The 27,906-nt window shown below is 53.0% G+C and overlaps 2 protein-coding genes and 1 long non-coding RNA gene across 21 annotated transcripts in view, besides 3 other annotated features; 2 read left to right on the plus strand and 1 right to left on the minus strand.

The window, feature by feature from the left end:
• On the plus strand, positions 1-24,449 carry TAS1R1 (taste 1 receptor member 1). 4 transcript variants are annotated; one of them, NM_138697.4, is made up of 6 exons: positions 1-258; positions 15,603-15,909; positions 19,325-20,086; positions 21,109-21,321; positions 21,644-21,764; positions 23,347-24,449. In NM_138697.4, exons 1-6 carry the CDS (start codon positions 68-70, stop codon positions 24,276-24,278), a joined length of 2,526 nt encoding a protein of 841 aa, NP_619642.2. In that variant the 5' UTR covers positions 1-67; the 3' UTR covers positions 24,279-24,449. The 4 variants fall into 4 exon arrangements, with proteins under 4 accessions (NP_619642.2, XP_011540508.2, NP_803884.1 ...); XM_011542206.3 differs by having other exon boundaries at positions 23,990-24,449; XM_011542203.2 differs by lacking the exon at positions 1-258 and adding an exon at positions 13,868-14,520.
• LOC107984912 (uncharacterized) lies at positions 12,242-24,127 on the minus strand. 2 transcript variants are annotated; one of them, XR_002958250.1, is made up of 3 exons: positions 24,041-24,127; positions 14,549-14,677; positions 12,242-12,392 (listed from the first exon to the last, which is right to left on the minus strand). It is a non-coding gene; the product is annotated as an uncharacterized LOC107984912 (long non-coding RNA). The 2 variants fall into 2 exon arrangements; XR_001737881.1 differs by having other exon boundaries at positions 12,242-12,471.
• Positions 24,072-24,771: an enhancer, noted in NCBI's record as "H3K27ac-H3K4me1 hESC enhancer chr1:6639438-6640137 (GRCh37/hg19 assembly coordinates)". NCBI's record gives its function as "activates a minimal SCP1, AML or CMV promoter by ChIP-STARR-seq in naive and primed H9 embryonic stem cells {active_cell/tissue: H9 hESC(naive and primed)}" and the evidence as "EXISTENCE:reporter gene assay evidence [ECO:0000049][PMID:30033119]".
• The window catches only part of ZBTB48 (zinc finger and BTB domain containing 48), a 9,287-nt gene continuing 6,068 nt past the window's right edge, over positions 24,688-27,906 (plus strand). For 4 of the 15 annotated variants that reach the window (NM_005341.4, XM_047418865.1, XM_017001111.3 and 1 more), the window contains exons 1-3: positions 24,688-24,830; positions 25,235-25,993; positions 26,752-26,993. In NM_005341.4, coding sequence (NP_005332.1) covers positions 25,304-25,993; positions 26,752-26,993 — 932 coding nt within the window. In that variant the 5' untranslated portion in view covers positions 24,688-24,830; positions 25,235-25,303. Of the gene's footprint in view, positions 25,994-26,751; positions 26,994-27,906 lie in introns of those variants that run through there. The other 11 variants (NM_001278648.2, NM_001278647.2, XM_047418864.1 and 8 more) reach the window with 11 other exon arrangements.
• Positions 24,823-24,952: a silencer, noted in NCBI's record as "silent region_163". NCBI's record gives its function as "represses an Ori minimal core promoter by ATAC-STARR-seq in GM12878 lymphoblastoid cells {active_cell/tissue: GM12878}" and the evidence as "EXISTENCE:reporter gene assay evidence [ECO:0000049][PMID:35858748]".
• Positions 27,232-27,281: an enhancer, noted in NCBI's record as "active region_83". NCBI's record gives its function as "activates an Ori minimal core promoter by ATAC-STARR-seq in GM12878 lymphoblastoid cells {active_cell/tissue: GM12878}" and the evidence as "EXISTENCE:reporter gene assay evidence [ECO:0000049][PMID:35858748]".

The following is a 27,906-nucleotide window of genomic DNA, read 5'->3' on the forward strand; positions in this document are numbered from 1 at the left end:
CTATTTAAGCAACTGGCCTCCTTAGAGGCCACTCCTTGGCCATGCCAGGCGCGGGCATCTGGCCAGCATGCTGCTCTGCACGGCTCGCCTGGTCGGCCTGCAGCTTCTCATTTCCTGCTGCTGGGCCTTTGCCTGCCATAGCACGGAGTCTTCTCCTGACTTCACCCTCCCCGGAGATTACCTCCTGGCAGGCCTGTTCCCTCTCCATTCTGGCTGTCTGCAGGTGAGGCACAGACCCGAGGTGACCCTGTGTGACAGGTGAGTGAGGGGCCAGCAGAGCCACACTTAGTGGGACCCCTGGCTATAGGGCCCCTCTGGCTGCCATCCTCCAAACAGGACCTTGCCTCTGCCTTTGCCCCTTGAACTGTCCCCAGGCCTTGTTCATCAATCCACTTGCCACCTAAGTGCTGGCTAGACCTTCCTAGACACTTCGGCCAGTTTCCAATTATTTCACCCTTGCTGTTAGAATGTGTTGTATTGTAACTTCATTGAAATTGGTTCTTGGCTTTGTACCATACCTAGGTGGCCAGGCCTAAGCAAGGGCAGCTTTTTCCCTCTTCTTTTTTTTTTTTTTTTTTTTTTTGAGACGGAGTCTCGCTCTTTCACCCAGGTGGGACTGCAGTGGCGCGATCTCAGCTCACTGCAAGCTCCGCCTTCCGGGTTCACGCCATTCTCCTGCCTCAGCCTCCCGAGTAGCTGGGACTACAGGCACCCGCCACTGCGCCCAGCTAATGTTTTGTATTTTTAGTAGAGACGGGGTTTCACCGTGTTAGCCAGAATGGTCTCGATCTCCTGACCTCGTGATCTGCCCACCTCGGCCTCCCAAAGTGCTGGGATTACAGGCGTGAGCCACCGCGCCCAGCCGCTTTTTCCCTCTTCTATCTTCTCTCCACTCCTACCCATGTTCAAAGTTCCCTAGAGTCCCAGATGACAAGTAGGATTCTCCATGGTTCTTCATGGGGTGGGAAGGGAAGACACATCCCATTAGATGCTTTAGGAGCTTGACAAATATAAATTAGGTTGGTGCCATCATGAAGTCAACAATCTAGGTAGAGGGAAACTACTGCTTTTCTTTTATTTCTATCTATCTATCTATCTATCTATATTTTTTTGAGATGGAGACTCAGTCTGTCATCCAGGCTGGAGTGCAGTGGCATAATCTTGACTCACTGCAACCTCCTCCTCCTGGGCTCAAGTGATTCTCATGCCTTAGCCTCGGGAGTAGCTGGAATTATAGGCATGTGTCACCATACCCAGCTAATTTTTGTATTTTTCGTAGAGACAGGGGTTTCACCATGTTGGTCAGGCTGGTCTCGAACTCCCGACCTCAGGTGATCCGCCCACCTCGGCCTCCCAAAGTGCTAGGATTATAGGCTTGAGCCACCGCGCCCGGCCTGCTTTTCTTTTAAAGAAGACAGTTGCAGCCGAGCACAGTGGCTCACGCCTGTAATCCCAGCACTTTGGGAGGCTGAGACAGGCGGATCACGAGGTCAGGAGTTCAAGATCAGTCTGGCCAACATAGTGAAACCCTGTCTCTACATAAAATACAACACATTAGCCGGGTGTGGTGGTGTGCACCTGTAATCCCAGCTACTCAGGAGCCTGAGGCAGGAGAATCGCATGAACCCGGAGGTGGAGGTTGCAGTGAGCCAAGATCACACCATTGCATTCCAACCCGGGCGACAGAGCGAGGCTCCATCTCAAAAAAAAAAAAAAAAAAAAAGACGAAGACAGTTGCTTGCAGACTGTGGAAGTCACAGACCCAGAGGCCCAAGAATGCTGCCGAGGCTTGGCTGCAGGATGTCCTACCCATGAAGCACACGAGATGGTTGGCTCAGGAAGAAGTTTCTGGAAATCTAGTGTATGACGACCTACTCGAAGGGCTACAGCTAGAAACCTGGATAAAGAGATAAAGAGAATGGGCTGGGAAGAGAGATTGGGTAGAGCAGGAGGAGGGAAGACATGAAAACCGGCTTCAGATACCTGAAGAATTGTCTCAGGCAGGAGGCACGAACCCTCCGTTGAGAGACTCGGGACAGAAGTGGTAGAAACCATGGAAGACCTTCTAACAAGCAAGAGGCTGGAAAATGGAACAGGCTAGCACACTTTATGTATTTGTTTGTTTATTTGTTTATTTATAGAGATGAGGTCTTGCTCTTTCCCCCAGGCTGGAGTGTAGTGGTGCAATCATAGCTCACTGCAGCCTTACTTGGGCCTCATTGAAGCTCAAGTGATTCTCCTGCCCCAGCCTCCCAAGTAGCTGGGACTACAGGCATGCACCACCACTCCTGGCTAATTTTTTAATTTTTTGTTGAGAAGGTGGTCTCACTGTGTTGCTCAGGCTGGTCTCAAACTCCTGGTCTCAAGTGATTCTCCTGCCTGGGCCTCCCACAGCATTGGGATTCTAGGTGAGCCACTGGGCCAGCCATTACAAAAAAGTTTTTTTGAGCTGGGATCTCACTATGTTGTCCAGGCTAGTCTCCACCTCCTGGGATCAAGCAATCCTCCATCCTCAGCCTCCTGAGTAGCTAGGACTACAGGCATGGGCCACTGCACCTGGCTTAGCCTGCTCTTTAAACGGGGCTGAATCCTGTCCCTGGCTCATTCCTGGTGGGCTCCAGACAGGAGTTGCTGAAGTAGGGGTGATAAGGCATATAGGCCCTCAACACATTCATAAGTGTCCTGGTGAGAAGCACTAATTAAACAAGGTTAAGCAGGTGTAGTGGTTAGTTTTTGTTTTTGTTTTTGTTTTTTTTCTGAGACAGGGTCTTCCTCTTTTGCTCATACTGGAGTCCAGTGGTACAATCATAGCTCACTGCAGCTTTGCTTGGGCCTCAGTGAGGCCCTAGCCTCCTTACTAGCTGGAACTACAGGCATATGCCACCACTTACCGCTAATTTTTTAAATTTTTTATAGAGACAGGGTCTCACTACATTGCCCAAGCTGGTCTCAAATTCTTGAGCTCAAGCAGTCCTCTCACAGTGCTAGGCCTCCCAGAGTGCTAAGATTATAGGTGTGAGCCGTGGTGGTGAATTTTGCGTGTCAGATTGTCTAGGCTATAGTGCCTAGAGTTGTGTAGTCAAACATCAGTCCAGCTGTTGCCATGAAGGTATTTTTAATTTATTTATTTTGGCCGAACGTGGTGGTTCATGCCTGTCATCCCAGCACTTTGGGAGGCCAAGGGAGGCAGATCACTTGAGGTTGGGAGTTCCAGACCAGCCTGGCCAACATGGTGAAACCCCGCCTCTACTAAAAATACAAAAATTAGCCAGGCTTAGTGGCTGGTGCCTGTAATCCTGGCTACTTGGGAGGCTGAGGCACAAGAATCACTTGAACCGGGGTGGCAGAGGTTGCAGTGAGCCGAGATCGTGCACTCCAGCCTGGGTTAGAGTCTCCAGCGAGACTCAGTCTAAAAAAAAATATATATATTTTGAGACAGTCTCCCTCCGTCATCCAGCCTGGAGCCAACTGCTGCGATCTTGGCTCACTGCAACCTCTGCCTCCCAGATTCAGGCGATCCTCCTGCCTCAGCCTCCCAAGTAGCTGGGATCACAGACATGTGCCAGCATGCCCGGCTAATTTTTGTACTTTTTTTTTTTTTTTGAGATGGAGTCTCGCTCTGTCGCCCAGGCTGGAGTGCAGTGGCGCGATCTCGGCTCACTGCAAGCTCCGCCTCCTGGTTTCACATCATTCTCCTGCCTCAGCCTCCGGAATACCTGGGACTACAGGCGCCCGCCACCACGCCCAGCTAATTCTTTGTATTTTTTTAGCAGAGACGGGGTTTCACCATGTTAGCCAGGATGGTCTCAATCTCCTGACCTCGTGATCCACCCGCCTCGGCCTCCCAAAGTGCTGGGATTACAGGCGTGAGCCGCCACGCCCGGCCCCAATTTTTGTACTTTTAATAAAGACAGGGTTTCACTATGTTGGCCAGGCTGCTCTCGAACTTCTGGCCTCAAGTGATCCACCCACCTCAGCCTCCCAAAGTGCTGGGATTACAGGCATGAGCCGCCGTGCCTAGCCTGAAGCTATTTTTTAGATGTAGTAAACATTTAAATCAACAGACCTGAGCTGGGCATAGTGACTCACGCCTGTAATCCAAGCACTTTGGGAGGCTGAGGTGGGTGGATTGCCTGAGCTCAGCAGTTCAAGACCAGCCTGGGCAACACAGTGAAACCCTGTCTCTACTAAAATACAAAAAAATTAGCTGGGCGTGGTGGTAGGCGCCTGTAATCCCGGTTACTTGGGAGGCTGAGGAAGGATAATTGCTTGAACCTTGGAGGTGGAGGTTGCAGTGAGCAGAGATCACACCATTGCACTCCAGCCTGGGCGACAGAGCGAGACTCCCTCTCAAAAAAAAAAAAAAAGCCTGAGGTTTTGGCCGGGCGAGGTGGTTCACGCCTGTAATCCTAGTACTTTGGGAGGCTGAAGCAGGTGGATCACCTGGGCCGAAGCGGATGGATCACCTGAGGTCAGGAGTTCAAGACCAGCCTGGTCAACGTGTGAAACCCCGTCTCTACTAAAAGTACGAAAATGAGCTGGACGTGTGGGTGCACCCCTGCAATCCCAGGTACTCTGGAGGCTGAGGCAGGAGAATCACTTGAACCTGGTGGGTGGAGGTTGCAATGAGCCGAGATCCTGCCATTACACTCCAGCCTGGACAACAAGGCAACAAGAGTGAAACTCTGTCTCAAAAAAAAAAAAAAAAAAAGCCGGGTGCTAATGGCTCACTGTAATCCCAGCACTTTGGGAGGCCAAGGCGGGCAGATCACCTGAGTTCAGGAGTTCAAGACCAGCCTGACCAACATGGAGAAACCCCCCTCTCTACTAAATATACAAAATTAGCCAGGCATGGTGGTGTATGCCTGTAATCCCAGCTACTTGGGAGGCTGAGGCAGGAGAATCGCTTGAACCCAGGAGGCAGAGGTTGCCGTAAGCCGAGATCATGCTGTTGTACTCCAGCCTGGGCAACAAGAGCGAAACTCCATCTTGTAAGGTTAGCCGAGAGAAAGAACAAGCAGACCCAAAGTCAGGCAAGCGTTTAGTAACCTGCTGGGCTGCTCCACAGCAATCAGAGGAGGCAACAGCCCAGGCTTACAGACTAGGGGGTATAAGTGTATTTTAGGGAGGGAGCAGGGGCGCCTAGGGGCTGTTTCTGGGTAAACCCACTTCCTGGTCGATGGGCAAAACAACAGCTGGGGAACATCTGCCTTGGCGGAGGGCCTGCAGATGGTGAAAAAAAGAGGGGACAGAGAAAAACAAGGGGTGGGGAAAACATCCGCCTTGGCGGTGGGCCTTTGCCGGGTTGGGTCCCTAACATTCCATCCTTTAATAGGTAATAGAGAGGGGGTGTCATTGCCTTCTGACTGCTTCTAGCTAAAGAGGGGCAATGTTGGCCGGGCGTGGTGGCTCACGCCTGTAATCCCAGCACTTTGGGAGGCTGAGGTGGGCAGATCACGAGGTCAGGAGATCGAGACCATCCTGGCTAACACGGTGAAACCCCGTCTCTACAAAAAATACAAAAAAAATTAGCTGGGCGTGGTGATGGGCGCCTGTAGTCCCAGCTACTCGGGAGGCTGAGGCAGGAGAATGGCGTGAACCCAGGAGGCAGAGCTTGCAGTGAGCCGAGATCATGCCACTGCACTCCAGCTTGGGCGACAGAGTCGGAAGACTCTGTCTCAAAAAAAAAAAAAAAAAAAGAGGGGCGATGTTTATGGAGAAAGGCTGTGGGGTTGGGATGGTTGTTCTTGAAGTAGCATCATGTCTTGTACTGTCCCATGGGTGAAGGCTCTAATATGGTCCTGTAAAAACTGGGTAAGGAGATGTAGGAGGCAAGGGCCAAATGCTAAAAGGAGAAAATGGGTTATGGCAGGGCCTAGGAGGGGCATTAGCCAGGGTGCCTAGGGGTTACAAAACTACTGGGGCCAGGAGTCTGAAAGGCGCTGCCTGATTTCAGAAGCCCTTTCATTTAACCGTTGGGCAGCATCTCGTACTAGTCCTGACTGGTTAGTATAGAAACAGCACTCTTCTCCTAAGAAGATGCGCAGTCCACCTTTTTCGGCAGTGAGGAGATCTAAACCTCAACAGTTTTGAAGTGACGCTACTGCTAAAGAGTCTATCTGGGGCCGGGCACGGTAGCTCATGCCTGTGATCCCAGCACTTTGGGAGGCAGAGGCGGGCTGATCATGAGGTCAGGAGATCAAGACCATCCTGGCTAATATGGTGAAGCCCCATGTCTACTAAAAATACAAAAAAATTAGCTGGACATGGTGGTGGGCGGTGCCTGTGGTCCCAGCTACTTGGGAGGCTGAGGCAGGAGAATAGCCTGAATCTGGGAGGCGGAGCTTGCAGGGAGCCCAGCTCGCGCCACCGCACTCCAGCTTGGGCAACAGAACGAGTTTCCGTCTCAAAAAAAAAAAAAAAGTCTATTTGGGATTGGAGAGTAAGGATGGATTCAGCTGTCTTACAGGCTGTCCAAGAGATCTTTTGAGAGACCGTGATAGTAGGACAGAGAGGTGGACAAGGGTTGGGGTGATCAGGCCCAACACCAGGCCGTGGGGGCTACGAGGTCCAGTGGAGTTGAAGGAATAAGAAAAGACAAAAGAGAAAGTGGGACCAGGGGGCCAACTGTAGTATGGAGGCTGTGAAGGCCCCCAGCTCTGGGAGCCCACATTATTTATTGGTGATCAAACAAAGAAACAGGTGGTGAGGATGTGGGGGTTGAAAGGAAGCACTGTATCAAGTGACTGAGCTGCAGCTGTGCCGGTTTAGCATTTTCTTTGAAACATATGGCTACTTGAGATAATGGGAGTGCTAGAAGCAAGGAGCCAGCAAGTCTAGACACACTCCAAAGGCCAGGAGGGTTTTTTTGTTTGTTTTTGAGACGGAGTCTCACTCTGTTGCCCAGGCTAGAGTGTAATGCCGAGATCCCGGCTCACTGCAAGCTCTGCCTCCCAGGTTCACATCATTCTCCTGCCTCAGCCTCCCAAGTAGCTGGGACTACAGGCGACCGCCACCACGCCAGGCTAATTTTTTGTATTTTTAGTAGAGATGGGGTTTCACCATGTTAGCCAGGATGGTCTCAATCTCCCAACCTAGTGATCCACTCGCCTCGGCCTCCCAAAGTGCTGGGATTACAGGCATGAGCCACCGCGCCTGCCCAGGCCACGGGGGTTTTAGACCCTGGACCCTGGGCATGTTCCAAGACTCTTTTACATTATGTCAGACATGCAAACCCTGCCTCAGCTCCTCTCCCAACACTCAGCTTTTCTCCCAACAGACAAGCCTGCTATCCTTGTTCCTGTTGCGGTGGTAATTCCTAGTCCTATAAGCAGGGGTGTTAGCTGTACGGCTCTGCGTTGACGGACTTGAGCTTTAATAGGGATTGGTAAACTCTGATTTCCAGGGGCAATGTCAATTTTGGGGCTTAAGAAGACTAGGGTGCAGGTGCCAGTCCAATTGGTAGGGAAGCAGACATAGGTTGAGGTTCCACACAAGAAAAATGTACCTTGGCTGGGCAGAGAGAACTGGTTATGTATATTGAAAAAGCACGTGAGTTTATTGTTTTCATCCTCCCACCTGCCTAGGGTGCTTGCTAAGGCGGCTCCAGTGAGTGGCTGAAAAGGAGTTGCAGGGATAATTGGAGAGGCTCCTCGTGTTTTATTCTCCCACTGGAGCAAGAATCGTTTTGTGTCTACCAGGAGCCATTTGGAAGAGTAATTGAAAGAGGGTATAAGGAGGCATTTGGCAGGGAGGGGAGCTGTGCTGCAAGAGGCCCATGGGTGAATGGCCATACAGCCTGTATGTCTGCCATTACAAAATCTTGATTGTTTAGTAAAGAGCTGGTGGTGACTTTTAGGGGTCCTGAAAAGTGGATGAGTTGTTTAAATTGGGCCGTTTGGGTGACCTTAAAATTTTGGTGGTCATTTGGGGCTTGAAGCTGTAAGGTATGGTTACATTGATGGGACAGTAGGTGACCTAAAGTCAGACCTGAGGGCAGGTTGCATTGGATACACACAGGGGCTTGGAAAGTCAGACCGGTGCCGGCGGCCACAGGGCCGTGAATGGGCTTGTCATTACTTGTATATTGGGTAAGGCTGGAGATATAGGAGCGTAAAAGTTGTACTATGCGCCGTGTCAGAGTGTTTTCTGTCGTATCTATGATAGAAAATTTAGCCAATGACTGCATGTCTAAAAGTTGTAAGGGGCTTTTTCCTTCATAACGGGGGTGACAGTTTAACTTAGTAAGAACTCAGTCTTTTGAGGGAATGGGGGTGGCAACATAGGTGGTAGTTGATAGGGAGATAAAGAGCCAGCAGTCTTCTGCTAGGATGGGGTTGGGCTGGTTTAGTGGGGAGGGAGTTAAGCTAAGGGTCTTGTAGAGGTAGCTGGGTACTATTGGAAAGGGGAGGTGTGGCTACGTGGGGCAGCCAAGGGATTAGGAGCGGTAGATAGGCAAAGAGTAAGTAGGAAAGTAAATAAGTGTGTTTCATCTGGGGAAAAGTCACACAGGGTGCCTTGAAAGGGGAGGTCATCTATCCACTCTAAAAGAGAGTCGAGAGTGGGAATTTGGGGCTGAAACCAGGAGATGTCTTGGCAAACGGAGAGGATGAAGAGGGTGAAGTGGCAAGGTAGGCAGGAACAGGGCATTTGAGAGAAATCAGGAATGTACTTGGGATTGTCAGGAGGAGAAGGAGGAGTCTGGGTATTGTTTAAGGGTCTCCTTTAGGGACGGGCATGAGGCAGAGTTTAGTTGGGCCAAGGAGGGAACTGGAGAATCGGCGGAAGGCGGCGGGTGGGTCACTTGTAGGCAGACTAGTCGTAGGAGCCCTTTTTAATCTAGAAAGTTGGTACCAAGAAGCATGTCCTGAGAGTTTGGCTGCGGTGGGGATTGTGAGGATGACTTGGAAAGGGCCTTCCCACTTAGACCTGGGGCTGGTTGGGTTAAGAGTTTTTAAGAAGACATGTTCTCCTAGAAGGAGAGTCTGGTCGTGGAGGCTTCATGGGGTTTTGGGAGGGCCTGGTCGGCTTGTTCGTGGAGAAGATGGTGGATGAGAGAGAGTGTTGGGAGGTATTCTCCTAGCTGAGAGTTAGAAGGGGGCCTGTTTTGTAAGAGGAAAGGGCGTCCATACGTTAACTCAAATGGACTGAGGAAGGAGGGTGCTTTTGGGCTGGCTCTGGTGCGGGCTAGGGCTATGGGCAGAAGGGAGGTCCAGGGTTTCTGGACTTCAAGAGTGAGTTTGGTTAACTGAGTTTTAAGGATGCCATTTGCCCTTTCAACTTTTCCTGATGACTGGGTTCAGTATGGGATATGGAGGCGCCACTGGACGCTGAGGGACTGATAAACCTGTTGGGTGATTTGGGAGATGAAGCTAGGGCCATTGTCTGATTGTATGGAGCAAGGGAGATCAAATCTAGGGATGATATCTGCTATAAGAATTTGGGCGACTACTGCGGCCTTTTCTGAAGAGGTCAGAAATGCTTCTACCCGCTCAGAGAAGGTGTCTATAAGAGTAAGAAGAAATTTTGTCCTCTTGACGGGAGGCAAGTGGGTGAAGTCTACCTGCCAGTCCTCCCCTGGGAGTGTTCCTCTGAGCTGATGTGTAGGGATGGGGGGAGCGGAGCGCCGCTTGGGAGGAAGTAACAGAATATACGACAGTTGGAGGTTATGTCTCTTAGTGCGGTGAATAGGTGGGGGGAGGAGAAATAAGGGTGAAGGAGTAGGTACAGGGGGCACGCACCGATATGGAAGGATTAGTGAGGAGATGTTAGAATTTCTATGAATAACTTCAGGATTGAGGAGAGGTTCATGGGAGATATTAGGGAAATTAGACTGCAGGTGATTAAGCATCTCAGTACGGGAGTGGGTGGGAGGAGAGGAAGATACTGCAATTAGAGATGCAGGGTTAAGGGGAGCACTTTTGGAGAGACAGAACTCAGGGTTTTCAAGAAAGAGAGCATGAAGTGGTTGGATGCGGGATGGAGAAAGGGCACTTAGTGCTCGGGAGGAAAGAAGATCTTATAGATTATGTGGGCTGTCGGTGGTGTCTTGACCGAATGTTGGGTTTTTGCTTTCTAAGGCTAGGGTGGCCGCTGCTGCTAGAGCTCTGAGGCAAGTTGGCCATCCTCGAGTGGTATTGTATAGTTGTTTAGAAAGGTAAGCTACAGGAGCAAAAGAAGGAGGGCTTCCTTTTTGTTGGCCAAGGACACCAAGGGCTATTCCATGGTTCTCAGCTGTGTAGAGAGTGAAGGACTGAGAAATGCCAGGCAAAGATAGAGCAGGAGCGGTTACAAGGGCGTTTTTTGTTTGTTTGTTTTCTTTTTGGAGACGGAGTCTCGCTCTGTTGCCCAGGCTGGAGTGCAGTGGCGCCACCTCAGCTCACTGCAACCTCCGACTCCTGGGTTCAGGCAATTCACAAGGGCGGTTTTAAGTTTGTGGAAGCTGGGGATTATGTTGTGAGAAGAATTTAGAGGCCCATTTAGAGAGCCTTTGGCTGCTTCATAGAGGGGGCTGGCTAGGAGGGCAAAGTTGGGGATCCATATTCTGAAGAAGCCTGCATTCCTAAGAAAGAGAGAATTTCACTCTTAGAGGAGGGTGGGGGTAGGCTGTCTATTAAGGCTACCCATGCCAGGGTCATGGCTTGGGCCCCGGGGGAGAGTTGGACTCCTAAGTATGTTACTGTTGGGGTGGAGAGTTGTGCTTTGGAGGGGGAGACCCCATATGCTTTGTTAGCAAGAAAGTTTAGAAGGGTAATAGTGTGAGTCTGAGAGTCTTCTAGGGAAGGACTACAGAGGAGGAGGTCATCCACATATTGAAGAAGACGGCTGGGGGAAAGGTCTAAGGAGGTGAGGTCTTGGGCTATGACTTGCCCAAAGAAATGAGGACCATTCCTGAAGCCTTGGAGAAGGACAGTCCCTATGAGTTGCTGTGATTGGAGGGTGTCAGGGTCAGTCCAGGTGAAGGCAAAGAGGTTTTGGGAATCAGGATGTAGGGAAATAGTAAAGAAGTCATCTTTTAGGTCAATAGCAGTGTAGTGGGTGGTACTGGAGGGGATCAGAGAGAGAAGTGTATAGAGGTTAGGGACTACAGGGTGAATAGGAGGACTGCCTGATTAATGGCTTGGAGGTCTTGAACGAGTCAATATGAGCCATCTGATTTTTTAATGGGGAGGATGGGGGTGTTACAAGGAGAGTGTGTTGGTCAAAGAAGACCACGTGAGCAGAGCTTGTTTACGATGGGCTGTAGACCCTTTTGGTGGGTTAGAGAAATGGGGTATTGGGGGATGTTGGGGAATTTGGAGGGGTCTTGAGATGGAGTCTCGCTCTGTTGCCCAGGCCAGACTGCAGTGGCGCTATCTCGGCTCACTGCAAGCTCCACCTCCCAGGTTCGCACCATTCTCCTGCCTCAGCTTCCCAAGTAGCTGGGACTACAGGTGCCCGCCACTGCGCCTGGCTAATTTTTTGTATGTTTAGTAGAGACGGGGTTTCACCGTGTTAGCCAGGATGGTCTTGATCTCCTGACCTCGTGATCTGCCCGCCTCGGCCTCCCAAAGTGCTGGGATTACAGGCGTGAGCCACGCGCCTGGCCTTTTAGCTGGATTTTGATGGGGTCATGATGAGCAGTTAGGGAAGGGATGGTGGTATCCTACACTATTGGGTTAACAAGAGAGGTGGGAAGTGGGTGCTGGGGAGAGGGGTCAGGGACTGGACTGGCAGAGAGGAGTAGGAGGGACTCAGGTTGGGGGAGGCAAGAAAAGGTGATACAAGCCTTGAATTTGGCTAAAAGGTCTCAGCCTAGAATGGGGATGGGTCAATGAAGCATGATAGAAAGACTATGAGAAAATGGTATTGAATAGGGAACAAGTAAGAGGTCTGGTGGCACATGGACGCGAGATGAATCTGTCAATCCCCACAACTGAGACTGAGGCAAGGCCGAGTAGGTGGCCCTGGTATTGATTAAAAAGGAGATCGGCAGCTGGGCGCAGTGGCTCACGCCTGTAATCCCAGCACTTTGGGAGGCTGAGACGGGCGGATCATGAGGTCAGGAGATCGAGACCATCCTGGCTAACACGGTGAAACCCCGTCTCTACTAAAAATACAAAAAATTAGCCAGGCGTGGTGGTGTGCGCCTGTAGTCCCAGCTACTTGGGAGGCTGAGGCAGGAGAATGGTGTGAACCCGGGAGGCGGAGCTTGCAGTGAGCCGAGATTGCGCCACTGCACTCCAGCCTGGGCGACAGAGTGAGACTCCGTCTCAAAGAAAAAAAAAAAAAAGAGGAGATCGGCTTACCTGATACTAGCAGAGTTACCCTGGGCTCTGCTGCATTGATGGCAGTTTGGCAGTTGGGGCCTGGGGCCCTGGGCCTCGTTCATCTTCAGCGGCTAGGTCAAGGAGCTGCGGGAGTGTAAGCAATTCTTCACCTTCTGTCTCACTCAAGGGGAGGTGATTCTGAGGTGCAGGCTTTTCTGTCCAACTGTTGAGACAACAGTCAGACTTCCAGTGGCCTGTCTGCTGGCAGACTGGGCAAGTGCTCTTCATCACTCGTGGATTAGGACTTCTTTGCCCAGTAGCCTTCTTTGCCGCACTTAAAGCAGGGCCCGGGAGGATTACTGCTATCGGGTCTTTTGTGCCCTTGTGTACTATGGCTAGATTGACGGATAGCCACAGCTAGAAGTTGGTATTTAGCGCGATCTCTTTAGGCTCTATCTAATTTACTTTGCTCATCCTTATTATTGAAGACTTTGAAAGCCAGGTTAAGGAGGTCTTGTTGTGGGGTTTGAGGGCCATCTTCAGCCTTTTTAAGTTTACACCAGGTGTTGGGGGCAGATTGGGAGATAAAATAGGTATTGAGAACAATAGTTCCAGCCGGGCGCGGTGGTTCACGCCTGTAATCCCAACACTTTGGGAGGCTGAGGTGGGCGGATCACAAGGTCAGGATATTGAGACCATCCTGGCTAACATGGTGAAACCCCATCTCTACTAAAAAAAAATACAAAAAAAATTAGCCGGGCGTGGCGGCGGGTGCCTGTAGTCCCAGCTACTCCGGAGGCTGAGACAGGAGAATGGCGTGAACCCGGGAGGCGGAGCTTGCAGTGAGCCGAGATTGCGCCACTGCACTCCAGCCTGGGCAAGAGTGTGAGACTCCGTCTCAAAAAAGAAAAAAAAAAAAAAAGAACAATAGTTCCTTCTTGGGAGGCAGTGTCGATGCAGGTATATTTTTGGAGAGACTCTGTAAGGCGGGAAAGGAATTGGGCAGGATTTTCGTCTGCCTTTTGGGAAGTTTCTTTAAGTTTTTCAAAATTTACAGGCTTATGGGCAGCTTTGTTAAGGCCTGCAATGAGGCAGGTAATCATGTGGTTATGGGATGCCCGGCTGGGGTCTGTGGGTTGGTACTCCCAGGAAGGCTCTTACTGGGGAACAGCAGCAGCTCCTACGGGCTTAGTAGGATCTTGCTGATGAAGATTGGCGGCATGTGCCTGTGCTGCAAGCCACACTCTTTCCTTCTCTTCTGGAAGGAGGGTGGAAGAGAGGATAATGTAGAGATCATGCCAAGTGAGTTCATAAGATTGGGTAAGATATTTAAATTCTTTGATATAAGTATCGGGATCAGATGAGAAGGACCCGAGATGTTTTTCAATTTGGTAGAGGTTGGAGAGGGAGAAAGGGACGTGGACACGGACGATCTCCTCAGCTCTTGCCACCTCCCGGAGCGGAAGTGAGGAGGCTGGTTGAGGGGCATGTTGGGCCCGAGAATGGGTAAGGGGTAGAGACGGTGAAAATTCGGAGTCAGAGGCAGGGTGGTTGGAGAGAGGGGGAGAAGGGGGCAGAACAGGAACGGGGACGTAAGGTGGGGGATTGGGGTGGTTTAATGGAGGACCATGATGGTGGCGAGGATGGGGAAAATTGGCGAGGTTAAAAGAAGAGGAGTCATCGACTGGGGCTGTAGGAAGAGTGACAGAGGGTGAGTTGGGTTTGGAGCGGGCAAGGAGGATTTGGAAAGTAGAACAGGACTGGCAGAGAGAAGGGTGGCTATGGAGAGTGAAGAAAGCCTGAACATAAGGAATCTCGGACCACTTCCCATTGCAGTGGCAAAAGTTGTCTAAGTCTTTAAGGACATTGAAATCGAAAGTGCCATTTTCGGGCCATTGGGAGCTATTGTCTAACCTGTATTGAGGCCAGACAGTATTACAGTAGAAAAGCAGCTTCTTAGGACAGACCTCTGAATGGAGGCCGAGGGCATTGAGGTTGCATAGAAGACACCCAAGGGGGGTGGTCTTAGGAAGCGTAGAATGAGAAGCTCCTATGGTGAATGGAGTGGGGCAGGCAGTGGAAGGAGAGACTGCCGGTCAACAAGGATGGTGGGAGAGGGCGTCCTGTGTCCCGCAAGCCCTGTCTGGAATAGAGGAGGTAGCCACTGAGACAGGCGTCCCTGAAATGGAGGAACCGGAGGCCTGGAGGCCAGAGGAAGCCCTTGGCCCAGCGCTGGGTCTTTCGGGAATTCAGAGACGGTCAAGGATTCTGGGTAAATGGCAGGAGTCTCTTTTACTCACCCTCGCAGAAGCTCTAATGATGAATGAGGTTGCCAATAATGGGAGAGTCTGAGAAATCCTCTGGGTCTTTGGCAGGTTCTGGAAGGGGAGGGTGGCCAGGAGAGAGGTGGGATGAGAGGGGGAAAGGCTCTAGCACACAGCCAGGGAGGAGAGAGGGAGGGAGGGAGGGGGAGAGAGAGAGAGAGAGAGAGAGAGAGTGAGTCCTCTGGGGATGCCCGGCCAGAGCCTACCCATTCCTGGGTTTCAGCACCAAAATGTAAGGTTAGCCAAGAGAAAGAACGAGTAGACCCAAAGTCAGGCAAGCAAGTTTATTAACCTGCTGGGCTGCTCCACAGCAATCAGAGGAGGCAGCAGCCCAGGCTTACAGACTAGGGGGTGTAAGTATATTTTAGGGAGTGGGGGCTGTTTCTGGGTAGAGCCACATCCTGGTTGATGGGCAGATGTTAGGGGAAAAAACAACAGCTGGGGAACATCTGCCTTGGCAGAGGGCCTGCAGGTGGTGAGAAAAGGAGGGGATGGAGAAAAACAAAGCGAGGGGAACATCTGCCTTGGCGGAGGGCCTTTGCTGGGTTGGGTCCCTAACACATCTCAAAAAAAAAAAAAAAAAGCCTGAAGTTTCTGCACAAGGAGGGAATTGAGGGAATTCTGCCTCCAGACCGCCTTAGGACTGAAGAGCATAGTAACATCAATTCTTTATAGAATGTCCAGCCTGCTGGCCTGTCCTGTAAAATTTGAACTTGCCAGCCCTCACAATGTGAACCAATTCCTTAAACTAAATTTCTCACTTTCTCTCTCTCTCTGGAAAACACTGACTAATGTAGCAGGTTTCTCTGCTCCAGGACTTCAGGACCTTTTCGATGCTAATAAGTTTCTCCATCAGGGCCAGCTTGTTCCTCCTACTGAGCTTGAGAGCCCTTGTTGAAGTTGTGGTTTGGGGGACTGGACCGATGACCTCAAAGGTTCCCTTTGCTCCCAAGCCTCAGAGTCTAGGAGGCCAGAGGGTCTCAGCAGGCCTTTGTCCTTCTCAGCTGTCTCTTACTGGCTTTCTCCACAGGTCTTGTAGCTTCAATGAGCATGGCTACCACCTCTTCCAGGCTATGCGGCTTGGGGTTGAGGAGATAAACAACTCCACGGCCCTGCTGCCCAACATCACCCTGGGGTACCAGCTGTATGATGTGTGTTCTGACTCTGCCAATGTGTATGCCACGCTGAGAGTGCTCTCCCTGCCAGGGCAACACCACATAGAGCTCCAAGGAGACCTTCTCCACTATTCCCCTACGGTGCTGGCAGTGATTGGGCCTGACAGCACCAACCGTGCTGCCACCACAGCCGCCCTGCTGAGCCCTTTCCTGGTGCCCATGGTAAGCTGGAGCCTCAGACCTTTGCCCATCTCCCTTCAGGCAAGTCTGGGCTGGGGCATGTGGGCAAGAGCTGCTGTCCCCCCCAAGGCTGCCTGCCCCCTGGATCTCTTGGGTGGTCACTGCTCTTTAGTCACAAGTCAGGGGTCCCTGCCCAGCGTGGTTCCTGCCCCAGCCTTCCTCTCTTTCCAGAGCTGCTTCCAGATCCCTGCCTCCACTCTCATGGGAAAACCCATTCTCCTTGGGAACTACTGCCACTCAGCTGTACCCCTGCTGCCCTCCACTTCCCTCCTCCCTCCAGAGGTTCCGTTGCCTTTGTTAGGAATGGACATCCTGGACGGGCGCTGTGGCTCATGCCTGTAATCCCTTGGGGAGGCTGGGCAGATCTCTTGAGGCCAGGAGTTCGAGACCAGCCTGGCCAGTATGGCGAAACCCCATCTCTACTAAAAATACAAAAGTTAGCTGAGAGTGGTGGTGTGTGCCTGTAATCCCAGCTACTTGGGAGGCTGAGACAGGAGAATTGCTGGAATCTGGGAGGTGGAGGTTGCAGTGAGCTGAGATTGCACCACTGCATTCCAGCCTGGGTGACAGAGTGATACCTTGTCCCCTCCATCCTCCCCCCAAAAAAGGACACCCTTTGCTTCCCACCCCATAGACTGCTCCACATCATCCCAGTCTCTCCTGCCTGCCTTTCCTTCTTCCCTCCTGGCTCAGAGGTGCTGACATGCCTCACCTTGCTGATGTCAGTCCTGTCTCTGTGCTTATTCTTGCCCTGTACCTTGGACCACAGCCCCTCCTTGGCTTATGGATCCTTCCCCATGGGTTCCTGCCTGGCCTGTGGTTGCCCTCATTCCTCTCCCTCTTCCAGGCCCTCTACCCTGAGCACTGACTCCCTGCCCCTTCCCATGGGAGTTTCCTGCTGGCCTCTCCCTGCCCTCATTGACCCTCAGCCCGATTCTGTCCCCACCACTCTTGCTTTCGCTGTGAGCTGGGGCACCTTCTAGGTATCCAAATCCTACTTTGCAGTCCTTCTTTATCTTAGGTGACTTGTGATTTTTTTTTTTTTTTTTTTTTGAGACACAGTCTCACTCTGACACTCAGGCTGGAGTGCAGTGGTGCAATGTTGTCTCACTGTCTCCCAGGCTCAAGCAATCCTCCCACCTCATACTCCTAAGTAGCTGGGTCCACAGGCATGTGCCACCATGCCTGGCTAATTTTTGTATTTTTTGTAGAGATAGAGGTCTCACTATGTTGCCTAGACTGGCCTTGAACTCCTGGGCTCAAGCAATCCACCTGCCTTGGCCTCCCAAAGTGGTGAGATTACAGGCATGAGGCACCGTGCCCTTTGTGACATTTTTGACCAGTCCTCCTATGAGAGTCTTTCCTTGGAATTTATGCCCCCCTCAGCCCCCTGCCCCCACCTGGCTTTCACTTGCAGCTCTTCTCTCCTTTTGCCCCACTTCCTCTGAAAAGGTAGGTGATTCCCCGGAGCAGGCTTCGCCCTCCTCTCCTCCCCTTTTCCAGTTCCCAGGCAGGCTGTGGGCTCGTGGTTTAACCTCCCATTCTCAGTCCCCTCCCCTCTGATCTGAGCCCCTGATGCTGGCCCAACATTGCCACATCATGGACCCAGCAAGGCCCAGATTGACCTTACCTCCCTACACAACAAAAGCCTCTTTTCTTCCTGTATTAGCCCCAATCCTCTGGTGGAGGGTAGTGAGGGAGTGGCCATCACCCTGGAGTCCTGCCCACTGCTGCTCCTCCTTGCCCTGCTCCCCACCTTTCATCCTTTCTGGCCTCCTTTTCCACTGCCACAGCCACAGCTGGAATTCACACCAGCATCACCCCTCAGCTAGATTCTCCCATCAGTGTCCTAAGGCTTCCCCCTGATTTTAGTCTTAAATTTCTTCTAACTCATTCCTCACTGAAGTCAGAGATACGCTCATGAAATGCAAGTCCCGGCCGGGCACCGGGCGCGGGGGCTCACGCCTGTAATCCCAGCACTTTGGGAGGCTAAGGTGGGCAGCTCATGAGGTCAGGAGTTGGAAACCAGCCTGGCCAACGTGGTGAAACCCTGTCTCTGCTAAAAATGCAAAAATTAGCCAGGCGTGGTGGCAGGCACCTGTAATCCCAGCTACTCAGGAGGCTGAGGCAGGAGAATTTCTTGAACCCAGGAGGCAGGGGTTGCAGTGAGCCAAGATCACGCCACCGCACTCCATCCTGGGCGACAGAGCAAGACTCTGTCTCAGAAAGAAAAGAAAAAATGCAAGTCCGAACATAGCACTTCTCTGCGGACATCCTTAGGGACTCCCTGTGGCTTACAGCAGTGGCCCCCAACCTTTTCGGCATCAGGGACTGGTTTCGTGGAAGACAATTTTTCTAAGGACGGGTGTGTGAGGGGTTGGTTTCAGGATGATTCAAGTGCATTACATTTATTTATTTATTTATTTTTATTTTTATTTTTATTTTTTGAGACGGAGTTTCGCTCTGTCGCCCAGGCTGGAGTGCAGTGGCGCGATCTCGACTCACTGCAAGCTCCGCCTCCCGGGTTCACGCCATTCTCCTGCCTCAGCCTCCCGTGTAGCTGGGACTACAGGCGCGCGCCACCATGCCCGGCTAATTTTTTTGTATTTTTAGTAGAGACGGGGTTTCACCGTGTTAGCCAGGCTGGTCGCAAACTCCTAACCTCGTGATCCACCCACCTCGGCCTCCCAATGTGCTGGGATTACAGGTGTGAGCCACTGCACCCGGCCATAATGTATTAATATAATAAAATAATTATACAACTCACCATAATGTAGAATCAGTGGGAGCCCTGAGCTTGTTTTCCTACAACTAGATGGTCCCATCTGGGGGTGATGGGAGACAGTGACAGATCATCAGACATTAGATTCTCATAAGTAGCGTGCAACCCAGATCCCTCGCATGTGCAGTTCACAGTAGGGTTCAAGCTCCTACAAGAATCTGATGCTGCTGCTGATCTGACAGGAGGGGAGCAGCTGTAAATACAGATGAAGCTTCGCTTACTCACCAGCTGCTCACCTCCTCCTGTGAGGCCCGGTTCCTAACAGGCCACTGACCTAACTTCTGCCCTGACCTACACATGCTTCTCTTCTTCCTTGCAAACTGCCTCCAGTGGAAGTCCCTGAAGGTCCCCAAACACACGGGACTATTTCACTCCTATGCAGGTTTTGTCTCCTTTGCTTGGAATGCATCCCCTCACCCCTTGTCCCCAGGCAGATTCCCACCCCTCCCCCAGAACCTGCCCCAGTGGAGCCTTCGCAGGTGATTTGTCAGTTTCACAGGCTGAGGGGTGCTCTCCTGGTCTCCCCGGCTCCCTGTATCCCCACACCCAGCACAGGGCCAGGCACTGGGGGGGCCTTCAGTGGAGACTGAAATGGCTGAACGGGACCTCCCATAGATTAGCTATGCGGCCAGCAGCGAGACGCTCAGCGTGAAGCGGCAGTATCCCTCTTTCCTGCGCACCATCCCCAATGACAAGTACCAGGTGGAGACCATGGTGCTGCTGCTGCAGAAGTTCGGGTGGACCTGGATCTCTCTGGTTGGCAGCAGTGACGACTATGGGCAGCTAGGGGTGCAGGCACTGGAGAACCAGGCCACTGGTCAGGGGATCTGCATTGCTTTCAAGGACATCATGCCCTTCTCTGCCCAGGTGGGCGATGAGAGGATGCAGTGCCTCATGCGCCACCTGGCCCAGGCCGGGGCCACCGTCGTGGTTGTTTTTTCCAGCCGGCAGTTGGCCAGGGTGTTTTTCGAGTCCGTGGTGCTGACCAACCTGACTGGCAAGGTGTGGGTCGCCTCAGAAGCCTGGGCCCTCTCCAGGCACATCACTGGGGTGCCCGGGATCCAGCGCATTGGGATGGTGCTGGGCGTGGCCATCCAGAAGAGGGCTGTCCCTGGCCTGAAGGCGTTTGAAGAAGCCTATGCCCGGGCAGACAAGAAGGCCCCTAGGCCTTGCCACAAGGGCTCCTGGTGCAGCAGCAATCAGCTCTGCAGAGAATGCCAAGCTTTCATGGCACACACGATGCCCAAGCTCAAAGCCTTCTCCATGAGTTCTGCCTACAACGCATACCGGGCTGTGTATGCGGTGGCCCATGGCCTCCACCAGCTCCTGGGCTGTGCCTCTGGAGCTTGTTCCAGGGGCCGAGTCTACCCCTGGCAGGTAAGAGAGCCCACCCCAGCACCTCCTGTCAGGGAGAACAGCCAATCCTGAGATGAGCAGAGTGGGCACTCTCCGGTCACTCTAAATGCCAAGGGGGATAAATGCCACTAACTTGAGGTTTTTTGTTTTGTTTTGTTTTGTTTTTTGAGACAGTCTGGCTCTGTCACCCAGGCTGCAGTGTAGTGATGCGATCTCGGCTCTCTGCAACTTCCACCTCCTGGGTTCAAGTGATTCTCTTGCCTCGGCCTCCTGAGTAGCTGGGATTACAGGCACCCACCACCATGCCTGGATAATTTTTCTTTTCTTTTTTTTTTTTTTGAGATAGAGTCTCGCTCTGTTGCCCAGGCTGGAATGCAGTGGTGCGATCTTGGCTCACTGTGAGCTCCGCCTCCCAGGTTCACTCCATTCCCCTGCCTCAGCCTCCCAAGTAGGTGGGACTACGGGCGCCCGCCACCACGCCCAGCTAATTTTTTTTGTATTTTGAGTAGAGACGGGGTTTCACCATGTTAGCCAGGATGGTCTCAATCTCCTGACCTTGTCATCCGCCCACCTCGTCCTCCCAAAGTGCTGGGATTACAGGCGTGAGCCACCGCACCCGGCCTAATTTTTGTATTTTTAGTAGAGATGGGGTTTCACCATGTTGGCCAGGCTGGTCTCGAACTCCTGGCATCAAGTGATCCTCCTGCTTCGGCCTCCCAAAGTGCTGGGATTACAGGCATTAGCTCTCTTCTCTTAGACAGATCTTTCTCTCTGATCCTTGCCTTCTCTCACCCACTGTGTCTTGGAAGTGTCAAGTGATAAGATCCAGGGCTAAAACTGTCTGTAAAGGAGTGTTTGTTAGAGGCCTCCTCTCAGGAGGTTGGTGGGGAAGATTGAGGGGCTTCCTAAGAAGGAAGGGACGAGACCTTCCTGATGGGCTGAAACCACCAGGACGGAAACCCAGGAAGGCCCCAGGCCCTTGCTTCTGGGACCATGTGGGTCTGTGCTGTCTGTGGTGGCTTCATGATACGCGTTTCTTTCAGCTTTTGGAGCAGATCCACAAGGTGCATTTCCTTCTACACAAGGACACTGTGGCGTTTAATGACAACAGAGATCCCCTCAGTAGCTATAACATAATTGCCTGGGACTGGAATGGACCCAAGTGGACCTTCACGGTCCTCGGTTCCTCCACATGGTCTCCAGTTCAGCTAAACATAAATGAGACCAAAATCCAGTGGCACGGAAAGGACAACCAGGTAATGGGGATGTGGCTACTCACCATGTAACTGGCTTATGGGCAACCTAGAGCCTGGGGGTGATGCTGACACAGTGTACAGGGAGCAGGAGGGGGGCCCCAGGGGTCCAGCTGCCACCACTCTACCCATCCTGGCCAGGGAAGCAGGGAAGACACTCCGTAGGCGAGTGTGCAGATGCCCTGGGGCGGAAGTTCACACGACCAGGGGCCCTGCCCTGGGAGTGAGCCCTGAGGGCAGATGCACAGAGATTCTGTTTTCTGTTCCACATGTGAGCTGTCCTTTGACTTGGGCCCCTACGTGTGGCCCCTCTGGCTTCTTACAGGTGCCTAAGTCTGTGTGTTCCAGCGACTGTCTTGAAGGGCACCAGCGAGTGGTTACGGGTTTCCATCACTGCTGCTTTGAGTGTGTGCCCTGTGGGGCTGGGACCTTCCTCAACAAGAGTGGTGAGTGGGCAATGGAGCAGGCGAGCTACCCAGCACTCCCGGGGGCTGCACGGTGGAGGGAGGGCCTCCCTTGGGCCCCATGTGCCCTGCCCCAGAACCAAGGCCCAGTCACTGGGCTGCCAGTTAGCTTCAGGTTGGAGGACACCTGCTACCAGACAGAATTCTGATCAAGAGAATCAGCCACTGGGTGCGGTGGCTCATGCCTGTAATCCCAGCACTTTGGGAGGCTGAGGCGGGTGGATCACTTGAGGTCGGGAGTTCGAGACCAGCCTGGCCAACATGGTGAAACCCCATCTCTACCAAAAATATAAAAAATTAGCTGGGTGTGGTGGCGCGTGCCTGTAATCCCAGCTACTCGGGAGGCTGAGGCAGGAGAATCACTTGAACCCAGGAGGCGGAGGTTGCAGTGAGCCAAGATGCATTCCAGCCTGGACCACAAAGCGAGAATTCGTCCCCCCAAAAAAAGAAAGGAGGCCGGGCGCGGTGGCTCACACCTGTAATCCCAGCACTTTGGGAGGCCGAGGTGGGTGGATCACCTGAGGTCAGGAGTTCGAGACCAGCCTGACCAACATGGTGAAACCCCATCTCTACTAAAAATACAAAAAAAGTTAGCCGGGCGTTGTGGCGTGTGCCTGTAATTCCAGCTACTCGGGAGGCTGAGGCAGGAGAATTGCTTGAACCCGGGAGGCGGAGGTTGCAGTGAGCCAAGATTGCACCATTGCACTCCAGCCTGGGCGACAAGAGAAAAACTCTGTCTCAAAAAAAAAGAAAGAAAGAAAGAATTAGCCAACTGAAAGCCTTAGACTGAGGTGTGTCCTCTGTTAGAGAGCTGTCATCACAACTCCTACAAAAGCAGTCGTATCCTGAATTCAACCTCTTTCTCTAAATGAATATAGCTATTGTTCCCTTTGTGCCCTCTTGTCCTACTGTCCCTTCTGTTGCCCATGCCAAAGACAGCTAGCTCCTTGAACAGCTTGGCCTGAATACAGATACTAGCGTGTCTGCAGCAGAGAAAAAAACAGCATTCCCCATCCAGAAATGCAAGGTCAAGAACAGAGAGCAAATTAGGTAGCTAAGGACTCAGGTCCTTAGTTGGTGTCCAGGGGCCACATTCTTTCCTTTCACCATCTCTGTAGGGACAGGAATACTTCCCTTCTGTCCTCAGAGGGTCAGGACTCAGAGAAACCACAGAGCAGCAGCTCAGGAAAGTGGTTCATGGAAATGCTGGCAAGAGAGAGGGGTTACAATGCCCTCCCTTGGGAGCAGGCTGCTCCCATCAGATCGTAACCTCTCTGGTATGTGGGCAGAGCTACCAGGTTAAGGTCCTCCCTAGGGTTTGCAAAACCCTCATGGGATCATGAGCCATACAGAACCGACCTGTGTGTCTCCAGAGTCTGTAATTAACACAGGCATTTTGAGGAAATGCGTGGCCTCAGGCCCCACTCCCGGCTACCCCCATCCCACTATGCCTAGTATAGTCTAGCTGCCCTGGTACAATTCTCCCAGTATCTTGCAGGCCCCTATTTCCTATTCCTACTCTGCTCATCTGGCTCTCAGGAACCTTCTTGGCCTTCCCTTTCAGACCTCTACAGATGCCAGCCTTGTGGGAAAGAAGAGTGGGCACCTGAGGGAAGCCAGACCTGCTTCCCGCGCACTGTGGTGTTTTTGGCTTTGCGTGAGCACACCTCTTGGGTGCTGCTGGCAGCTAACACGCTGCTGCTGCTGCTGCTGCTTGGGACTGCTGGCCTGTTTGCCTGGCACCTAGACACCCCTGTGGTGAGGTCAGCAGGGGGCCGCCTGTGCTTTCTTATGCTGGGCTCCCTGGCAGCAGGTAGTGGCAGCCTCTATGGCTTCTTTGGGGAACCCACAAGGCCTGCGTGCTTGCTACGCCAGGCCCTCTTTGCCCTTGGTTTCACCATCTTCCTGTCCTGCCTGACAGTTCGCTCATTCCAACTAATCATCATCTTCAAGTTTTCCACCAAGGTACCTACATTCTACCACGCCTGGGTCCAAAACCACGGTGCTGGCCTGTTTGTGATGATCAGCTCAGCGGCCCAGCTGCTTATCTGTCTAACTTGGCTGGTGGTGTGGACCCCACTGCCTGCTAGGGAATACCAGCGCTTCCCCCATCTGGTGATGCTTGAGTGCACAGAGACCAACTCCCTGGGCTTCATACTGGCCTTCCTCTACAATGGCCTCCTCTCCATCAGTGCCTTTGCCTGCAGCTACCTGGGTAAGGACTTGCCAGAGAACTACAACGAGGCCAAATGTGTCACCTTCAGCCTGCTCTTCAACTTCGTGTCCTGGATCGCCTTCTTCACCACGGCCAGCGTCTACGACGGCAAGTACCTGCCTGCGGCCAACATGATGGCTGGGCTGAGCAGCCTGAGCAGCGGCTTCGGTGGGTATTTTCTGCCTAAGTGCTACGTGATCCTCTGCCGCCCAGACCTCAACAGCACAGAGCACTTCCAGGCCTCCATTCAGGACTACACGAGGCGCTGCGGCTCCACCTGACCAGTGGGTCAGCAGGCACGGCTGGCAGCCTTCTCTGCCCTGAGGGTCGAAGGTCGAGCAGGCCGGGGGTGTCCGGGAGGTCTTTGGGCATCGCGGTCTGGGGTTGGGACGTGTAAGCGCCTGGGAGAGCCTAGACCAGGCTCCGGGCTGCCAATAAAGAAGTGAAATGCGTATCTGGTCTCCTGTCGTGGGAGAGTGTGAGGTGTAACGGATTCAAGTCTGAACCCAGAGCCTGGAAAAGGCTGACCGCCCAGATTGACGTTGCTAGGCAACTCCGGAGGCGGGCCCAGCGCCAAAAGAACAGGGCGAGGCGTCGTCCCCGCATCCCATTGGCCGTTCTCTGCGGGGCCCCGCCCTCGGGGGCCGGAGCTAGAAGCTCTACGCTTCCGAGGCGCACCTCCTGGCCTGCACGCTTTGACGTCACGTCCGGCGCGGAGACGGTGGAGTCTCCGCACTGTCGGCGGGGTACGCATAGCCGGGCACTAGGTTCGTGGGCTGTGGAGGCGACGGAGCAGGGGGCCAGTGGGGCCAGCTCAGGGAGGACCTGCCTGGGTGAGGAGGGCGCGGGGTGAGGGAGGGAGGGGCTGCGGGCCGCCGTGGCTGCCTTCCGCTCGGCCGCTCGGGACCTGTGGGCGCGGCGTGGGCTTCGCTCACCTGTCCCCGGCTGCCGCCCTCCGCCGTCCGGGATCCTCTCACTGTGCCGGGCCAGTCCGTTCGCTCTCATCCCATGTCTCCTTTCCCCAAACTTGGATTTTTCTCACCAGGCCCTTCTTCACGACCCTGGCCCCCCATCCAGCATCCCCCCTGGCCAATCCAATATGGCCCCCGGCCCCCGGGAGGCTGTCAGTGTGTTCCAGCCCTCCGCGTGCACCCCTCACCCTGACCCAAGCCCTCGTGCTGATAAATATGATTATTTGAGTAGAGGCCAACTTCCCGTTTCTCTCTCTTGACTCCAGGAGCTTTCTCTTGCATACCCTCGCTTAGGCTGGCCGGGGTGTCACTTCTGCCTCCCTGCCCTCCAGACCATGGACGGCTCCTTCGTCCAGCACAGTGTGAGGGTTCTGCAGGAGCTCAACAAGCAGCGGGAGAAGGGCCAGTACTGCGACGCCACTCTGGACGTGGGGGGCCTGGTGTTTAAGGCACACTGGAGTGTCCTTGCCTGCTGCAGTCACTTTTTCCAGAGCCTCTACGGGGATGGCTCAGGGGGCAGTGTCGTCCTCCCTGCTGGCTTCGCTGAGATCTTTGGCCTCTTGTTGGACTTTTTCTACACTGGTCACCTCGCTCTCACCTCAGGGAACCGGGATCAGGTGCTCCTGGCAGCCAGGGAGTTGCGAGTGCCAGAGGCCGTAGAGCTGTGCCAGAGCTTCAAGCCCAAAACTTCAGTGGGACAGGCAGCAGGTGGCCAGAGTGGGCTGGGGCCCCCTGCCTCCCAGAATGTGAACAGCCACGTCAAGGAGCCGGCAGGCTTGGAAGAAGAGGAAGTTTCGAGGACTCTGGGTCTAGTCCCCAGGGATCAGGAGCCCAGAGGCAGTCATAGTCCTCAGAGGCCCCAGCTCCATTCCCCAGCTCAGAGTGAGGGCCCCTCCTCCCTCTGTGGGAAACTGAAGCAGGCCTTGAAGCCTTGTCCCCTTGAGGACAAGAAACCCGAGGACTGCAAAGTGCCCCCAAGGCCCTTAGAGGCTGAAGGTGCCCAGCTGCAGGGCGGCAGTAATGAGGTACTGTGCCCAGGGTGTTGGGACTGGGGAGACAAATAGAGGGAATAGACACTTTTTTGGTATAATAGGGACCCTGGGCTGGGTGTGATGGCTCACTCACGCCTGTAATCCTAGCACTTTGGGAGGCCAAGGGGGGTGGATCACTTTAGCTTGGGAGTTCGAGACCAGCCTGGGCAACATGGCGAGGCCTCATTTGTACAAAGACTATACAAAAATTAGCCGGGTGTGGTGGCACACACCTGTAGTCCTAGCTACTCAGGAGGGTGAGGTGGGAGGATCACTTGAGCCCAGGAAGTGGAGGTTGCAGTGAGCTGAGATGGTGCCACTACCCTCCAGCCTAGGCGACAGAGCAAGATCCTGTCTCAAAAAAAAAAAAAAAATATGTGGACCTTAAGACAATCTCTGTTAATGTGGGTTTGGAACAGGCTTTCTCCAAAGGAAGCTGGTGACCTCAGGCTGACCTTTCTGCAAGCCCCAGCTGTTCACGGTTGCCACCTTCCTGAGAGGAGTGGGCAGCATCAGGGTTACAGGTGTTTCCCCAGGGCAGTGTTTCCAGCTGAGCTTCCAGTTCCCCACAAACACAGCCACTTTCCTCTGAATCCAAGATTCAGATGCTCTGCCTTGGGCCCCTGAAGGAACTTGTCTGATGAAGGGACTTGTCAGGGTTGGGGCTTGGGATGGAACTGGAGCTGGGTCCCTACAACTCCTGCTGATTCATTTGGTGACGCCACCCCCTCCTGCTGCCTATTGTGCTCTAGTGGGAAGTGGTGGTTCAAGTGGAGGATGATGGGGATGGCGATTACATGTCTGAGCCTGAGGCTGTGCTGACCAGGAGGAAGTCAAATGTAATCCGAAAGCCCTGTGCAGCTGAGCCAGCCCTGAGCGCGGGCTCCCTAGCAGCTGAGCCTGCTGAGAACAGAAAAGGTACAGCGGTGCCGGTCGAATGCCCCACATGTCATAAAAAGTTCCTCAGCAAATATTATCTAAAAGTCCACAACAGGTAAACGTTCTGTTTTTCTATTTTCTTTTCCTGTCTGCCATTCCCACGTTGGGGGAGGGGTCCTGCACTTCCCACTTCTGGGTGAGGTAGGGGCTGGGGGATCCATCTCAGACCCACATAGTGTCTGGCCTTGGTACACCTCTGATAATCAGGAAGTGAGAGCCTGCTTTGGGTTGGATTCTTCTTCCTTGCTGTCCTGTGAGTACTCTGGTTGGAGATGGGTTTGTGTACATCTTGTCAACAGGTTCCACCCACTGTGGACCTTGACCTCCAGCTGGTCTCTGCTAACAGAATGAGAAACCTGTGGCCCCTGTGCTAGAGCTGGGGCCCAACCTTAGGTGTTTCTGAAGCCTGGCAGTGTGGGCTTGAAGCCTGGCAGTGTGGGCTTTGGGCCACAGTGCCAAGCCTTGGTTCAGTGCTACCTGCGTTTCCAGGGAAGTGTTCACTCTGGGGTGTCAGTGGGGCATTCAAGTCTATTTGTCTAAACCTTCAGCGTCCAATAAAGTAACCAGGAACTCCAGGAGCTATTACAATTTTTATTTTTACATTTAATGGAGACAAGGTTTTGCTCTGTTGCCCAGGCTGGTCTCAAACTCCTGGGCTCAATCGATCCACCCACCCTGGCCTCCCAAAGTGCTGGAATTATAGGTGTGAGCCACCATGCCCAGCCCCCAGGGGCTATTTTATGTTTTTTGTTTGTTTTTGTTTTTGAGTTGGAGTCTTGCTCTGTCACCAGGCTAGAGTGCAGTAGCGTGATCTCAGCTCAGTGCAACCTCTGCCTCCTGGGTTCAAGTGATTCCTCTGCTTCAGCCTCCCAAATAGCTGGGATTACAGGCACATGCCACCACACCCGGCTAATTTTTTGTATTTTAGTAGAGACGGGGTTTCACCATGATGGCCATGATGGTCTCAA

The sequence above is a fragment of the Homo sapiens genome, chromosome 1 (genome assembly GCF_000001405.40).
Source record: "Homo sapiens chromosome 1, GRCh38.p14 Primary Assembly".
Taxonomy (NCBI): domain Eukaryota; kingdom Metazoa; phylum Chordata; class Mammalia; order Primates; family Hominidae; genus Homo; species Homo sapiens.